Source organism: Homo sapiens, chromosome 19 (assembly GCF_000001405.40).
Source record: "Homo sapiens chromosome 19, GRCh38.p14 Primary Assembly".
NCBI lineage: Eukaryota > Metazoa > Chordata > Mammalia > Primates > Hominidae > Homo > Homo sapiens.
Window position 1 is genome coordinate 22,441,150 of NC_000019.10, and position 18,354 is coordinate 22,459,503.

The following is an 18,354-nucleotide window of genomic DNA, read 5'->3' on the forward strand; positions in this document are numbered from 1 at the left end:
TGTTTACATGTTTTTCAAGCAGGGTCTCGAATGTACCCCCCAATAACTTTTTTTTTTTTTTTGAGATGGAGTCTCCCTCTGTTGTCCAGGCTGGAGTGCTATGGCTCACCGTAACCTCCGCCTCTCGGGTTCAAGCAATTCTCCTGTCTAGCCTCAGGAGTAGCTGGGATTACAGGCGCCTGCCACCACGCCCGGCTAATTTTTTTTTTTTTTTCCAGATGGAGTCTCGCTCTTGTTGCCCAGGCTGGAGTGCAACGGTGCAGTCTTGGCTCACTGCAACCTCCACCTCCCGGGTTCAAGCGATTCTACTGCCTCAGCCTCCTGAGTAGCTGGGATTACAGGCATGCACCACCATGCCCGGCTAATTTTTGTATTTTTAGTAGAGAAGGAGTTTCACCATGTTGGTCAGGCTGGTCTTGAACTCCTGACCTCAGATGATCCATTCACCTCAGCCTCCCAAAGTGTTGAGATTATAGGTGTGAGCCACTGAGCCCAGCCTTTTTTTTTTTTTTTTTTTTTGAGATGGAGTCTCTCTCTGTTTCCCAGGCTAGAGTGCAGTGGCATAATCTCAGCTTTGCCTCCCGGGGTTCAAGCAATTCTCTTGCCTCAGCCTCCCCAGTAGCTGGGACTACAGGTGCATGACACCGCATCCAGCTAATTTTTTTGTTTTTGTTTTTGTGTTTGTGTTTTTTTTGAGTTGGAGTTTTGCTCTTGTTGCCCAGGCTGGAGTGCAATGGTGGGATCTCAGCTCACCACAACCTTCAAATCCCGGGTTCAAGGGCTTCTCCTGCCTCAGCCTCCTGAGGAGCTGGGATTACAGCCATGCACCCCTACGCCCGGCTAATTTTGTATTTTTAGTAGAGATGGGGTTTCTCCATGTTGGTCAGGCTGGTCTCGATCTCCTGACCTCAGGTAATCTGCCTACCTCGGCCTTCCAAAGAAAGTACTGGGATTATAGGCGTGAGCCATCATGCCTGGCTTTTTTTTTTTTTTGTATTTTAGTAGAGATGGCTTTTCACCATATTGGGCAGGCTGATCTCGAACTTCTGACCGCAGGTGAATTGCCTGCTTCAGCCTCCTGTTTTTAATATTTTCATCATAAAATCTTTGTCAGTTTCTATGTCTAGAATGGTATTTCCTAGGTTGTTTTCCAGGGCATTTCTTCCTTATAATTTTAAATTTTACATTTAAGTCTTGAATTCATCTTGAGTTTATTTTTGTATATGGTGTAAGGATGGGGTGCAGTTTCAATCTTCTACATAGTATTTGCTAGTTATTTCAGCATCATTTATTAAATAGGGAATTATTCCCGCATTCCTCTTGTCAGCCTTGTCAAAAATCAGATGGTTGTAAGTGTGAGGCATTATTTCTGGGCTCTCTGTCCTGTTGCATTGGTCTATGAGTCTGCTTTTGTACTAGTACCATGCTGCTTTGGTGTCTATAGCCCTGTAATATAGTTTGAAGTTGGGTAATGTAATGCCTCTAGCTTTATTCTTTTTGCTTAGGATTACCTTGGCTGTTTGGGCTCTTTTTTGGTTCCATATGAATTTTAAAATAGTGTTTTTTAGTTCTATTAAGAATGTTGCTGGGTGTGGTGGCTCACGCCTGTAATCCCAGCACTTTGGGAGGCCGAGGTGGGTGGATCACAAGGTCAGGAGATTGAGACCAACCTGGCTAACACAGTGAAACCTTGTCTCTACTAAAAATACAAAAAATTAGCCAGGCGTGGTGGCACCCGCCTGTAGTCCCAGCTACTTGTGAGGCTGAGGCGGGAGAATCACTTGAACCTGGGAAGTGGAGGTTGCAGTGAGCCAAGACCACGACATTGTACTTCAGCCTGGGTGACAGAGTAAGATTCTGTCTCAAAAAAAAAAAAAGAAAAAGAAAAAAGAAAAGAATGTCTTGGTAGTTTAATAGAAATAGCACTAAATCTGTAAAAAAATTTTAGGCAGTATGGCTATTTTTTTTTTTTTTTTTTGAGACTGGGTCTCACTCTGTGGTCAGGCTGGAGTACAGTGGTGCCGCCTTGGCTCACGGCAACCTCTCTCTCCTGGGTTCAAGTGATTCTCCCACCTAAGCCTTCCCAGTACCTGGGACTACAGGTGTGTGCCACCACATCATCTAATTTTTGTATTTTTTTGTAGAAACGGGGTTTCACTATGTTGACCAGCCTGGTCTCAAACTCCTGACCTCACGTGATCCAGCCACCTCAGCCTTCCAGGCTATGAAACAGTTTTCCATTTGTTTGTGTCATCTCTGACTTCTTAGCAGTGCCCTGTAATTTTCGTCTTAGAGATCTTTCACCTCCGTGGTTAGCTATATTCCTAGATATTTTATTCTTTTTGTGGCAATTGTGAATGGGATTATGTTTTTGATTTGGCTTTTGGCTTGGATGTTTTTTATGTACAGGGATGGTACTGATTTCTTTACATTTATTTTTTATCCTGAAACTTTGCTGAAGTTGTCAGTTTAAGAAGCTTTTCCAGGCCAGGCATGGTGGCTCACACCTGTAATCTCAGCACCTTGGGAGGCCAAGGCAGGTGGATCACCTGAGGTGAGGAGTTCGAGATCAGCCTGGCCAACATTGTGAAACCCGTCTCTGCTAAAAATACAAAAATTAGCTGAGCATGGTGGCGCATGCCTGTAATTCCAGCTACTCGAGAGGCTGAGGCAGGAGAATCGCTTGAACCCAGGAGGTGGAGGTTGAAGTGAGCTAAGATCATGCCATTGCACTCTAGCCTGGGTGACAGAGCAAAACTCTGTCTCAAAAAAAAAAAAAAAAAGAAGAAGCTTTTCTGCAAAGATTATAGGGTTTTCTAGATATAGAATCATGCCATCTGAAAACAAGGATAATTTGATTTTTTTTTTCTTTTTGGATGCCTTTTATTTCTTTCTCTTGCTTGATTGCTCTGGCCAAGACTTCCAATTCTATGTTGAATACAAGTGGTGAGAGAAGGCATCCTTGTCTTGTGCCATTTTTCAAGAAGGAATGCTTGCAGCTTGTGTCCATTCTGTATGGTATCTATGGATTTCTCATAAATAACTCATTATTTTGAAATATGTGCTTTTAAGGCTTTTAGTTTTTTGAGGGTTTTAAACATGAAGGATGCTAGATTTTATTGAAATATTTTTCTGCATCTATTGAAATAATCTTGTGATTCTTGTATTTAGTTCTGTTTATGTGATGAATCAGATTTATTAATTTGTGTGCACTGAACCAACCTTGCATCCCAGGACTAAAGCCTAATTGATCATAGTGCATTAGCTTTTTAATTTGCTGCTGGATTTGCTTTGCCAGTATTTTGTTGAGGATTTTTGAAGCAACATTCGTCAATGATATTGGCGTGAAGTTTTCTTTTTTGTTTTGTTTCTATCAGGTTTTGGTGTCAGAATGATGTTGTTCTTACATAATGAGTTAAGGGTTAAGGGGGAGTCCCTTCTTTTCAATTTTTAATAATAGTTATAGAAGGTATAATACCAGCTTTTCTTCGTACATCTGCTAAAATTCAGCTGTGAATCTGTCTGGTCTTTTTTTTTCCCCTGTTTTTGGTTGGTAGGCTATTTACTACTAATTCAATTTTGGAGCTTGTTATTGGTCTATTCAGGGCTGCAATTTAGTATTTTTTTAGTCTTGGGAGAGTTTACTCATCCAGGAATTTATTCACTTCTTTCAGATTTTCTAGTTTGTGTGCATAGTGGTGTTCATAGTAGACTTCAATAGTTATTTGTATTTTTGTGGGACTCAATGGTAATGTCCCTTTTGTCATTTCTAATTGTGTTTATTTGGATCTTCTTTCTTCACAGTCTTGCTATGGTTCATCTCATTATTTTTTCCAAAAGATTTAACTCCTGGATTTCTTGATACTTTGTATAACTTTTCATGTCTAAATCTCGTTCAGTGCAGATCTGATTTTGGTTATTTCTTGTCTTCTGCTAGCTTAGGGGTTGGTCTTCTCTTGCTTCTCTCATTCTTTTATTTATGATGTTAGGTTTTAAAATTTATTTTTAACTTTTTTATTTGAGTTTTTAGTGCTATAAAGTTTTTTCTTAAGACTGCCTTAGCTGTGTTGCAGAGATTCTGGTAGGTTGTATCTTCGTTGTCATTTGTTTCAAAGAACTTCTTGATTTTTGCCTTAATTTCATTATTTTCCCAAAAGTCATCCAGGTTCAGATTGTTTAATTTCCATGTAATTATATGGTTTCAGGTGGTTTCCTATATATTGAATTATATCCTTATCAAGCTGTGGTCTGTTTGTGTTTTTGGTATGATTTTGGGAAGACTGAATTTGCTGAGAATTGTTTTATTTCTGATCATGTGGTCAATTTTAGAGTATGTGACACGTGGTGATGAGAAGAATGAATACAATGTTGGTTTTAGATGGACACTTCTATAGATGTCTAGTAGGACTATTTGATCAAGTGTTGAGTTTAGGTTTTAAAATCTTTGTTAATTTTCTGCCTAATAATCTGTCTAATAGAGTCTGTGGGGTGTTGTAGTCTCCCACTATTATTTTTTCAGAATCTAACTCTCTTCATAAGTCTCTAAGAAATTGCTTTATACATATACACCCATGCATTTTTTAGAACACTTTTCTCTCTTCTGCTTTTTTGTTTTTGAGATGGAGTCTCACTCTGTCGTCCAGGCTGGAGTGCAGTGGTGCGTTCTCGGCTATTTTTTATGTTTTTAGTAGAGACAAGGTATCACCGCGTTAGCCAGGATGGTCTCGATTTCCTGACCTCTTGATCCGCCTGACTCGGCCTCCCAAAGTGCTGGGATTACAGGCGTAAGCCACCACGCCCGGATATAAGCATTCTTTCAAGTGCACACACGGTATGCCCAAGGCTGCTTCTTAGATGTCTGAATACAGTGTCTAATTAAATTCAGATGTCCAAGAGTTTAAGAACATGTCCAGAGACTTGGCTGTTGTAGGAGAAAATATAAATTAGAAATAAGAAGCTTTATTCTGTTAACTGAAAATAAGGGAGGATATTGTGTTTCTCTCTTTTCTTAAAGCATTTAGATTATATGTACATATTTTTCTCTGCTTTTAAAAAATATTTGTAAATCTTTTTTGTTGTTGTTTGTTTTGTTTTGTTTTTTGAAATGGAGTCTTGCTCTGTCGCCCAGGCTGGGGTGCAGTGGCACAATCTCAGCTCACTGCAGCCAATCTCTGTCTCCCAGGTTTAATCAATTCTCTGCTTCAGCCTCCCAGTACCTGGGATTACAGGCACCCGCCACCACGCCCGGCTAATTGTTTTGTATTTTTAGTAGAGACGGGGTTTCACCATCTTGGCCAGGTTGGTCTTGAACTCCTGACCTTGTGATCCACCAGCCCTGGCCTCCCAAAGTGCTGGGATTACAGGCGTGAGCCACTGCACCTGGCCAATATTTGTAAATCATATTTACAGCTAGATCAATCTTGTGGTTTTTTGTTTTGTTTTGTTTTTTACTCAGAATCGTCTTAATTGAGAACCACAGAACCATTGCTTTGTTTTTGCTTTGGCAAAAGTATATACATATATATATATTTTTTTTTAGTCTTTTAAAGTAGACATAGATTTGTTTAGATTAAAGCTCATTTTAAGAGCCACAAAAATTGAACACAAAGATAGGATTACATTTAGCACTACAGAGTGATAGAGATTAAAAGATGCTGAGTAAGGTTCTTTGACAGAAAATTGATAATCCAAGGTAATTATCTAATATTTGCAGGCTGAAGTACTTACACTGCAAAATCAAAAACCGTTCAGTGTATAAACTGAACAGTGGAGTCTGTAGTTGTATTTGGTTTCGATTTATTACTTCAGAACAATTAGCATAGTTATTTGTAGTGTTTGTAGACAACTTGCATTCATATAAATTATGCAGTATTTTCTACAATAGTATGAATATGACACAATATTTAGTAAATTTTTTTTTTTTTGAGATGGAGTCTCACTCTGTTGCCCAGGCTGGAGTGCAGTGGTGCCATTTTGGCTCACTACAACCTCTGCCTCCTCGGTTCAAGCAGTTTTCCTGCCTCAGCCTCCTGAGTAGCTGGGATTATAGGAGCACGCCACCACGCCTGGGTAATTTTTGTATTTTTAGTAGGTACGGGGTTTCACCATGTTGGCCAGGCTGGCCTCAGACTCCTGCCTCCCAAAGTGCTGGGATTTCAGATGTGAGCCACCATGCCTGGCCACAATATTTACTTTCAATGAGTTTCCTTTATTTTTTTTTTTTTTTGAAGCAGAGTCTTGCTCTGTCTCCCAAGCTGGAGTGCAGTGGCACAATCACGGCTCACTGCAACCTCTGCCTCCCAGGTACAAGCGATTCTCCTGCCTCAGCTTCCCCAGTAGCTGGGATTACAGGCGCGCACCACCATGCCCGGCTAGAATTTCTTAAATAGTTATTTTAATATTGTTATTCATACTTTTTAAATATAAAATGTTTTAACTGAATTATGGTTACAAGTAATTTTTAATAATTCTACATTATGACTAGTACATTAAAATTATTTATCCTTAGATATTTATATCTAATATCCAAAGAAAATTCACTACAAAATTGTTGTAGTAGATATGAGTCTGACATGCTTATTAGTTTATCCAATAGGGATAATTATAGGTAAGCATGATTTTAATGTCTATTATGTCACTAAATTTGAATGCTGCTATTACAGGACAAGCAAACATGACAAGTGATGTGGCCATGCCAAGATTGTAATAGCTCTTCAGTTAGCTATGCTGCAAGCTCAAATATATTCCAGTGTGTAAACAAAGCCAGATTCAAATTCTTCATCTAATGTGCTAGTGGAAATTGTCAGATGTGTTTCAATATAGTTCCCCCATCTAATGGTTAGGAGATGAGACAGCAGCAGAGATGAAAGAGAAACCTTATAAAATTTTGCTGAGAATTTGTACCCCCTGCTTTTTTTTTCGAGACAGAGTCTTGCTCTGTTGCCCAGGCTGGAGGGCAGTGGCACGATCTCGGCTCACTGCAACCTCTGCTTCCCAGGTTCAAGCGATCCTTTTGCCTCAGCCCCCCTAGTAGCTGGGATTACAGGCACGCAACACCAGGCCTGGCCAATTTTTGTATTTTTAGTAGAGACGGGGTTTTGCCATGTTGGCCGGGCAGGTCTTGAATTCCTGTCCTCAGGTGATCCGCCCTCCTCAGCCTCCCAAAGTGCTGGGATTACAGGAGTGAGCCACCACGCCTGGCTCATCCCCTTTTTAAATAATGTTCATGTTTCTCATGCTGAGAATAGTTGTGCACTTTGGGTATTTAAAGAGAAATTTTTAACTTTTTATTTTCTCTCAATATAATCTTGCTCAGATAGAGAGCTGTTTTTTGCTCAAATCCTTTGGGTGTCTGTTTCAGGGGTCCTATTAGTATCCCATGGTGTCTGTGAATAAGGTGGGCTGTCACAGGGAGAATTCTTAGATCTATCTCTATCTGGACTCATGCTGGAAATCCAGCAGTATTTTTTTCATGTCACCATTATAAATAGAAGCTGAGGCTGAAACACTGCTCCCATTCCCATTATCGTGAAGGTGCAATTTCACCCAGGAGGCCTGCAGGCTCTCCTCCTGCAGCTCAGGCTTCATTGTCTGATGGGACGCTGGAGTGCTGCTGTGGCAACTGGGGTTCATGTAAGATGTGAGCTGCCAGTGACAAGCTTTATGTTGTGGCCTCTGCGTCAGTGGCAGATGGTAGGCGTCAAGAGAGGACATGGCCATCAGGAGAGGGCAAGCAGGGTGCTCTAGCCCAGTGCTAAAGGAGTAAAGAGCCATTGCTTTAAAATATAAATAGCCAAAAAGATAACACCCTATTCAACCATTTCTGTAGGAGAGTGGGAGCCTACCTTCAGCAGGCACCTGGCTTCAAGTTGCAAAATTACCTCCTGTTATGAAGATGTGAAAAGTTTATTTTGTCATTGAATATAACCAATTAGCATACACGGATGGCCTTGCCAATTACCAGCGGAATTTAGGATGAACTACGTATGACATGGTGCTGTAAATTTTTCTACTTGTGGACTAACTATGGTGACTGTCTTTCTGTCTTTGCAATCTGTTGAGCAGATTGACTGTGATGCGTGTCACATTCAGGTTAAATTGTGTAATAAAACAGTTTTCTTTCTGTTCTCTCATTTTGGAGATTTTCTGGGGCTGGAGAAAATTTTTCTTTTAATTATATTTTCCATACACTGTCTAGAATTAGCAGACATGATATAAACACATGCCAACCAAGCTTTACTCTAGAGAGGATTTTTCCTCTCAGGCTTCCAGTCAGCTCATACATTTCTACAAACTTCACAGGATGGCAATCAACCATTTCACCTCTTTCAGTGACTCTTGTATCTTCAGACCTGAAACTAATTCAGAGACCAGGGGGCCCAGAAACCCAATCAGAGTAACATGTGAGTGTTGAGTAGACATGTAGATATGAGAATCTCCACTTTCCCCTTCCTCCTATTGCTAAAATACCCACAAATATGCAAATAACACCTGCTGAAGCTCCAAATTCTAAATCTAGGTCTTGAGATTTGGAAAACAAAAAAAAAAACAAAAAACCTTTCATCTGAGGAATGCAAGTTCTTTTAGTTGTCAAACTCAGAGAGACATTAAAATGACAACACAGTTTTGTCTTTTTCCCATCTTTAAATTATGTGTTTTTTTTTTTTTTTTTTTTGAGACAGAGTCTTGCTCTATGACCAAGGCCAGGGTACAGTGGTGCGATCTCTGCTCACTGCAACCTCCGCCTCCTGGGTTCAAGTGATTCTCCTGCCTCAGCTTCCCAAGTAGCTGGAATTACAGGCACGTGCCCTGGCTAATTTTTGTATTTTTAGTAGAGACAGGGTTTCACCATGTTGGCCAGGCTGGTCTTGAACTCCTGACCTCAAGTGATCCACCTGCCTCGACCTCCCAGACTGCTGGAAAATTACAGGCGTGAGCCGCTGCGCCCGGCCCTGAATTATGTATTTATCTCTTAAAACTGTTAGCTACTGCCACCAATAGCTATAAATTAAACTAATAATGCCACACTGGACACTATAACCATACTCTAAATTTTAACGATGTATATCCAATCAATAATCAATGTCATTTCTGTAAATTAATGAAAATTTCTGATAAACAATTTTATATCAGCCATCTCTCTGTCCTTCTCTTTTTGCCTTTTCGGATCGACTTATAACTGCTCCTAATCAAAGTGTAGATGACCTGCAACTTGAAGGTTTGCTCCCAGGTTACAATCCTCAAGCTTTGCCTCAATAAACTGTCTACTTATATTCATGTTGCCTTAGCTTTATTTCTTTTAGGTAGACATATCATTTAGAACGTGCTAAAGCAGCCTCTATAAAGGGATCTTTCCTTTGATTGTACTCTGCTTGCTGTAACACCCAAGAATGAAAAGCCAGGTTGATCCCACCTAGAATCTGTAAATAAGGTCTGGCGTCTTCCTGGAATTTATAAGATAAGGCCAGACTTTGAATTGAGAATGTAGAAAAAACCAACAAGAGACATTTTCTGCATTGTCAGATGTCAACATAGACATCTTAAAGTTCCCCTTTGAGAATGTGATTCTTTCAGCTTCTCAGATCTTGTCCGGTGACATGCTACAGTTATGTAAGGGGCATCAGGTATAAATAGAATCTGATGGCAGAATATGTAAGTGTGAACAAGTATCTTCAGAGTGAGAGATCAAGATGATAATGTATCCAGAGCCATAACCAAAACTATACCTACCTATAAAATGTGGGACTGGAGTAGAATATTCCTGTTCTTCCTCTTACCTAAGAGCTAGATAATCAGGACAGGTGATCCAGATTCTCGAGCTTCTCCAGGGCAGTTTAATTTTTTATTTAGAATTAGCCTGAGTCGGCCGAGCGCAGTGGCTCACACCTGTAATCCCAGCTCTTTGGGAGGTCAAGGTGGGCAGATCACCTAAGGTCAGGAGACCAGCCTGGACAACATGGTGAAACCCTGTCCCTACTAAAAATACAAAAATTAGCCAGACGTGTTGGCATGTGTCTGTAATCCCAGCTACTCAGGAGGCTGAGGCAGGAGAATCGCTTGAACTTGGGAGGTGGAGGTTGCAGTGAGCCGAGATTGTGTCACTGCACTCTAGCCTGGGAGACAGAGCGAGACTCCGTCTCAAAGAAAAAAAAAAAAAAAGAATTAGCTAATTAGCTTGAGTCTCTCCTGCCTGGCTTATCATTGGGCCATCAGCCCAGGGTCACTGGGAACTCTCACAATCAGCTGGGTGTCTTTGAGACATTTGAGCACGTCCGGAGCAGAATTGTGCCAGGTTAACAAAAGTGGTTAATTCTGCTTGTCTCAGTGTAAAAATTGAGTCATCCTGTGTTTGCTCCTTCCCTCACACAAGAGATGACTTTGGTGGGTACCCAGATGAGAGTTTCTCCAGTTTTCTGGTACTTGGGTGAAAAACAACCAGGATGTCTGGAGACTCAAACGAATAAACTAATTGCTTTTATTTCATATGGCCATTAGAAAAATAGATGAAGCAGTCATAGTTCCTACCATCCAGGAACTTTTAGTCTAGACTAGCACCTGAATAAAGGGTTGAAGTAAGCATCGTATGGTTGATACAATGAACAGATGTGTGCAAAAAACCTTGGGCTTTATCTGGGCCCCTTTCTTTATCTTGTAGTGACTTCTTATGTCATCAACTAAAGGGATATTTATGAAAAGAAGAGTTGTTATTATTACATGCATTTCTATTACCTAAGAATATATATTTATCTTCTAATAATTACCCTAGAAAGCCTTACGATATTTATTTAAATTGCTTATTAGTATGCATTATATAATCGACAGGGCAGTGGCTAAAAAAAAATTATATAAACTCTGAGATATAAGTTTCTCTTAGGCAAGCTTAGGGAAACACAACTGGAAATACCCCAGTGGCACAGAGAACAGAATTCTACATAAGGTCCACTCCCTGCCCAGTTCTGTTCAGATTCACTCTATTTGAGGGTCTTATTTAGATCTGGCCCCACTCTGGAGTCTTGCCTCACAGAACTGATTGGAAGAGATCAGAGTTTTGGCTGGTGAATCCTGCTGCCTTTCTAAAGCTGGTACTCACAATTTTCTGCACCCCGAAGGAGATAAATGGGAAAAATAAAGTATATATTTTAAGGTCTTCATTTTTAAATTTTCTATTAAATCAGTGCTTGCAGAGACATTCCATTTAGCAACTTGTTTTCTATTCCTGCAGATTCAGTAGTTGCTCCACAAGTCACAAAAAAGCAAATATAAACCACAATAAAAGTTTCTCTAAACTGCATTAAACTTTTCTGTATTCCAGTCATCTGTCTACATTTAGCTTTTATTGTATACATTTTCTTTAAAAAACCAAGAACAGAAACAGAAGATGAAATACATATGCTGGGCCCTTAACCTAATGCTGGGAATTATCAAACACTTAGTACCAACTCCCAGTGTGTTATGAGGATTAAATCACATAATGCATTATTTCTAGCGCAGTGCTCTGCAACATACTCTTGCTTACCTAGTACCTGCTTAGTAAACATTGCATTAGTCCATGTGTACATGTTGTTTTCCAAATGCAGGCTTATTCAGGCACTGCTACCTTTTGTTGCCTCTGTAAACTTTAAAGAGCCAGCGAAGAATTTGATGCTTTAGGATGGAGATTAGTTGTCTTCATTTGTGCCAGAAGTATTTGTGTTGTGACAACAGTGCCAAGTATAAGGGACTCTGTGCTGTGCCTGCTTTCTCTAACTAATGCTAATAATGAGCCTGGGGGAGCATCATCCGCATTGACAGGGGACTTATTTAAAACACACATTCATGTACTCTTTGAAAACCTGAAGAATCACATTACACAGAAAGAGATTAAAATTACCGAGTGGTTTATAAACTCATTAAAGCTTGAGAGACAATGCTTAGCTAAGTGGTTATAAACCCAGGGTTCTATTAGTTTGGTGCAAAAGTTATTACAGTTTCTGCCATTGTAATTAATGTGGATTACTTAGATGTGGATACTCAGATTACATGGCCAATTCACAGAAATATCTTTGCTCGTGCCCTTTCCACGGGTTCTTTTTATTGTTGGACACATCCATGTTGTTTTAATTAAGAGCCTCATGTGATTCTAAGGTGAGGCCAGAATCACGTATGAGGGGTTGAAGATACACTCATGAGAGTTCAGTTTCACCTCTTTACTACAGGGTGATCATAGGGCCTGTTCTGTTTGGTTTTGGTATGGACAGGGCAGTGTGGCCCATATTTTCATTACTGTAGCAGAGATTGTTGGTATCTGTGCCAGGGAAGGGCACCTAAGACAGGAAAGGAGAAACACATATTTCTATAATCATGGAGCAACTAATTGTTCCTGAATTTTTCATGTTATAAAGGACAGAAATGGGTGGACTTTTTCAGCGGGTCTTGGTACTTCTGCCTGTGGGTGTGGTGGTAGCAGGTAAACAGGTGGTGCTGACACCTTTAAAGGCATATTCTCAAGATGCAGGTCTAATTTGTCCAGAGAATCTCAACTGAAAAGGAATCCCAGGGAAGGAGGAGATACGGAAAAAATATGCCTTTTTTTAAGCTAAACACGTCTCAGATCAAGAGCTGTGTCCATTCTGCCTCCTGAAATTCCATGCGTTTAGTACTTGCAAACCTTTACTTCTCTTCTTGTGTTTTTCCTCCCTAATGAGTTTAACTACTTTTTAAAAATTTTATTGATAGTCAAGGGTCTCTGAAAAATATTTCTTATTTATTTATTTATTATTTTTATTTATTTATTTATTTTTTTAGAAGGAGTCTCGCTCTGACACCCAGGCTGGAGTGCAGTGGCGCGATCTCGGCTCACCGCAAGCTCCGCCTCCCGGGTTCACGCCATTCTCTGCCTCAACCTCCCGAGTAGCTGGGACTACAAGCGCCTGCCACCACGACCGGCTAATTTTTGTATTTTTAGTAGAGATAAGGTTTCACTGTGCTAGCCAGGATGGTCTCGATCTCCTGACCTCGTGATCCGCCCGTCTCGGCCTCCCAAAGTGTAGGGATTACCGTCGTGAGCCACCACGACCGGCCCCTGAGAGAAGGCATTCTTGTCTTGTGCCAGTTTTCAAAAAGAAATGGTTTCAACTTGCATCTATTTGGTATATTGGCTGTGGGTTTTTCATAGATAACTCATTATTTTGAAGAATGTACCTTCAATGCCTAGTCTATTGAGGGTGATAACATAAAGGATGTTAAACTTTATTGAAAGATTTTTCTGCATCTATTGAGATAATCTTGTGGGTTTTGTCTTTATTTCTGTTTATGCGATGAATCACTTTTATTGATTTGAAGCAACCCTGCATCCAGGGATAAAGCTTACTTGATCATAGTCGACTGACTTTTATTTTATTTATTTATTTTTTGAGATGGAGTCTCATTTTCTCGCCTAGGCTGGAGTGCAGTGGCGTGATATCAGCTCACCGCAACCTCCGCCTCCCGGGTTCAAGCGATTCTCCTGCCTCAGCCTTCCAAGTAGCTGGGATTACAGGTGCCTGTCACCATGCCCGCCTAATTTTTGTATTTTTAGTAGAAACGAGGTTTCACCATTTTGGCCAGGCTGGTCTCGAACTCCTGACCTCAGGTGATCCACCCACCTCGGCTTCCCAAAGTGCTGGGATTACAGGCGTGAGCCACCACACCCAACCCATAGTCGATTAACTTTTTGATGTGCTTCTGGATTTGGTTTGTCAGTATTTTGTTGGGAATTTTTTATCAATGTTTATTAAGAATATTGGCCTGAGGTTTTCTTTGTTTTGTTTTGTCTCTGCTAGGTTTTGGTATCAGAATGATGCTGTTCTTATATAACGAGTTGGGGAGGAGTTCCTTCTCAATTATTTGGAATAGTTTTAGTAGGAATAATAGCAGTTCTTTGTACATCTGGTAGAATTCAGCTGTAAGTCTGTCTGGTCCTGGGCTTTTTTTGGTTGGTAGGCTGTTTATTACTAATTAAATTTTGGAGCTTTTTATTGTTCTATTAAGGGATTCAGTTTTTGTTGTTGTTGTTGTTCAATCTTGGGAAGATGTATTTGTCCAGGAATTCATTCATTTCTTCTAGATTTTCTAGTTTGTGTGCGTAGAAATGTTCACTGTAGACTTTAATTATTATTTGTATTTTTGTTGGGTATTGTCTGTTTTATCATTTCTAATTGTTTCTTCATTAATCTAGCTAGTGGCTTATTTATTCTTCATTAATCTAGCTAGTGGCTTATTTATTCTTCATTAATCTAGCTAGTGGTTTATATTATTAATTTTTTCAAAAAATTTACTCTTCGATTTCTCCATCTTTCTTGTAGTTTTTTATGTTTAAATCTTCTTCAGTTCAGATGTGATTTTTGTTATATCTTGTCTTCTGCTAGCTTAAGGGTTGATTTGTTCTTGCTTCTCTCATTCTTCTATTTATGACATCGGGTTGTTAAATGGAGATTTTTCTAACTTTTTGATGTGAGCACTTAGTTTATAGCACTGCCTTAGTTGTGTTGCAGTGATTCTGCTGTGTTGTATTTTTGTTCTCACGTATTTCAAAGAACTTCTCAATTTCATTTTAGTCATTCAAGTGTAGGTTGTTTAATTTTTTATGTGTCTGGTTTCAAGTGCTTTTATTTGTATTGAATTATATTTTTATCAAGCTGCAGTCTGAGTGTGTTGCTGATATGATTTGGGGATTTTTGAATTTGCTGAGGATTGCTTTAGTTTTAAATGTGTGGTCAGTTTTAAAGTATGTGCTCTGTGGTAATGAGAACGATGTATATTATGTTGTCTTTAGATGGAGAGTTCTGTAGGTGTCTGTTAGGACAATTTGGTCAAGTGTTGAGTTCAGGTCCTAATATCTTTGTGGTTTTTTTTTCCTCAGTAATCCATTTATTAGTGTCTGTGGGGTGTTGTAGTTTCCTCCTATTATTGTGTCAGAGTCTGTCTTCATAAGTCACTAAGAACTTGCTTTATTTATTTGCACCCATAAATTTATATAACACATTTTTCTCTTCTGCTTTTTTCCCCATAAACACAGTGTGCCCAAGGCTATTCCACAGATGTCTGAATTCATTGTCTACTGAAATTCCGACGTCTTGACAGTTCAACATGTTCCAGGACATGGCTGTTGTAGGAAAAAATATGAATTAGAAATAAGAGGATTTATTCACATACCTTAAAATAAAGGAGAATATTTTGCTCTTCTCTCTTTTCTTATAGCATTTATATTATATGTAGACAATTTTCTCTGTTTTTTTTGAAATATATGGAAGTCATATTAACAGCTAAATAAACCTTTTGGCATTCTTTTTTACTCGGGATTGTCTTTATCTAGGACCTTAGATTCATTGCTTGTTTTTGCTTTGGCAAAAGTTTATATTTTTTGTTATTAGCCTTCTAAGGTAGACACAGATTTGTTTAGATAAATGTCATTTTAAGTGCACACAAAAGTTTGGCACCAAGATAGGATTAAATTTAGCAATACAGAATGATTAAAGCCAAGAGATACTGAGTAAGTTCCTTTGACAGAAAACTGATTATCTGAGGTAATGATCTAATATTTGCAGGTTGAAGTACTTACACTGCAAAAGCAAGTGTAGTTCAGTGTATAAACTGTGGAGTCTGTAGTTGTACTTTGCTTTCTATTTTATACTTCAGAATAATTAGCATAGTTATGTGTACTGTTAGTAAACAACCTGCATTTATATAAATTAAACGGTATTTTCTACAATAGTATTCATACAATAGTAGGAATATAAGGGCAAAATATTTACTTTGAATAATTGTTTTAAATAATCATTTTAATATTGTTAATCATACTGTTGAAATGAAGTTTTTTAACTGAATTATGGCTACAGATACTTTTAAAATATTTTACATACATTATGACTATTACATTAATTTATACTTATTTATATCTAATATCCAAAAAATTGCTACCAAATTGTTACAGTAAATATTTGTCTAACATGCTTATTAATTGATCCCATATGGGTAGTTACAGATAAGCATAATTTTAGTGTCTTTCATTTCACTAAATTGGAATGCTGCTATTACGGGACAAATAAACACCAGTGAAGTGGTCACTGAGAAACCATAATAACTGTTAATTTAGCTGGGTTGCAAGGTCAAATGTATTTCACTATATAAACAAAGTCAGATTTCAATTTTTCACCTACAAGGGCTTATGAAAATTGTCAGATGTATTCCATTGTAGATCTCCCATTCATTGGCTAGGAGATAAGAGAGCAGCAGAGATAAAAGAGAAACCTTATAAAATTCTGCTGAGAATATTTTTTCCTTTTTCATAATGCTCATGTTTCTCATGCTGAGAGTACCTGTGCACTTTGGGTTTTTTTGTTGGTTTGTTTTTTGAGACAGAGTCTCGCTCTGTCACCCAGGCTGGAGTGCAGTGGCGTGATCTTGGCTCACTGCAACCTCCTCCTCCCAGGCTCAACTGATTCTCCTGCCTCAGCCTCCTGAGTGGCTGGGATCACAGGCACACGCCACCAAGTCCAGCTGATTTTTGTACTTTTAGTAGAGATGGGGTTTCACCATGTTGGCCAGATTGGTCTTGAACTCCCGGCCACAAGTGATCCGCCTGCCTCGGCCTCCCAAAGTGCTGGGATTACAGGCATGAGCCACCACACCCAGCAGCACTTTGGGGTTTTAGAGAGAAATTCCTTTAAGGAGAATATTTTCTGGCTGATTTGATCAAGTTTATGTCTAATCAAAGTGTTGTTCTTAAGATGCCTTTAACTTTTTTTTTCTCCATATAATCTTGCTCAGACTGAGAGCTGTTTTTCTCTCCAGTGCTTTGTATGGCTGTTTCAGGGATCCTGTTAGTATCCCATGGTGTCTGTGAATAAGGTGAGCTGTCACAGTGAGAATTCTTAGACCTATTTCTATCTGGACTCATGCTGGAAATCCAGCAGTATTTTTTTCATGTCACCATTATAAATAGAAACTGAGGCTGAAACACTGCTTTCATTTCCATTATCATGAAGGTGCAGTTCTACCCAGGAGGCCTGCAGGCTCTCCTCCTGCTACTCAGGCTTCATTGTCTGATGGGACGCTGGAGTGCTGCTGTGGCAACTGGGGTTCATGTAAGATGTGAGCTGCCAGCTGTATGCCCTGTGCTGTATGTAGGCTGTACCTCAGTGGCAGATGGTAGGGTTCAAGAGAGGACACTAGCCATCAGGAGAGGGCAAGCAGGATTGCTATAACCCAGTGCTCAGGGAGTAGAGAGCCATTGCTTTAAAATGTAAATAGCCAAAAAGATAGCACCCTAATCAACCGTTTGTGTAGCAGAGTGAGCCGACTTTCAGCAGGCATCTGGCTTCAAGTTGCAAAACTACCTCATATCATGAAGATGGGAAAAGTTTATTTTATCACTAAATATAACCAATTAGCATACATGAATGGCCTCTCCAGTTACCAGGTGAGTTCAGGATGAACTATGTATGACATGGTGCTATATATTCTTCTACTTGTGGACTAATTATGGTGACCACTAATTATGGTGACAGACTAATTCTGTCTTTGCAATCTGTTAAGCAGATTGACTGTGATGCATGACACATTCTCGATTAATTGTGTAATAAAACATCATTCTTACTGTTCTGTCATTGTGGTGTTTCTCTGGGGATGCAGAAAATTTTTCTTTTAATTATATTTTCCAAACACTGTCAAGAATTATCAGACACAATAAAAACATATAAGGTGCCAACCAGAATTTACTATAGAGAGGACTTTCCCTCTCAGGCTTCCAGTCAACTAACAAATTTGCTGCAAAGTGCCTGCTTTCTCTTAAATATGCAGGCAGAATTATGTCTCTGCCTGTTAGATACCTGTAGTTTTCTATAGTCACTTCTAGAGAGACTAGACCAGATTTCTACAGACTTGACAGGGCAACAATCAACCATTTTACCTCTTTCTATGACTCTTGTATCTTCAGTCCTGAAACTGACTCACAGACCCTGGACCCCAGGTACCCAATCAGAGTAACGTGTGCACTGAGTAGACATGTGGAAATGAGAGTCTCCACGTTCCCCTTTCTCCTCTTGCTAAAATGCCCACAAATGTGCAGGTACCACCTGCTGCTACTCTATCCATCCAGAGCCTAAATCTGCAGCTCCAAATTCTGAATCTAGGTCTTGAGATTTGGAAAATAAAAAAAAACTTTTCTCTGAGGAATGCAAGTCTTTTTAGTTGTCAAACTCAGAGAGAGATTAAAATGAGAGCACATTTATGTCCTTCTCCCCTTTTTGAATAATGTACTTATCTCTTGAAAGCATTTGCTATTGCCACCAGTAGCTATAACCTAAACTAATAATGCCACTCTGGACACTATAATTC

At 39.4% G+C, this 18,354-nt stretch overlaps 1 long non-coding RNA gene and 2 pseudogenes across 2 annotated transcripts in view; all 3 read right to left on the reverse strand.

The window, feature by feature from the left end:
* BNIP3P32 (BCL2 interacting protein 3 pseudogene 32) lies at window positions 6,785–7,628 on the reverse strand (annotated as a pseudogene).
* LOC105376917 (uncharacterized) overlaps window positions 14,943–18,354 on the reverse strand; it is a 76,394-nt gene continuing 72,982 nt past the window's right edge. For both annotated transcript variants that reach the window (NR_160728.1, NR_160727.1), the window contains one exon: window positions 14,943–15,121. This is a non-coding gene — a long non-coding RNA (uncharacterized LOC105376917). The remainder of the gene's footprint in view (window positions 15,122–18,354) is intronic.
* Window positions 16,180–17,063, reverse strand: BNIP3P33 (BCL2 interacting protein 3 pseudogene 33; annotated as a pseudogene).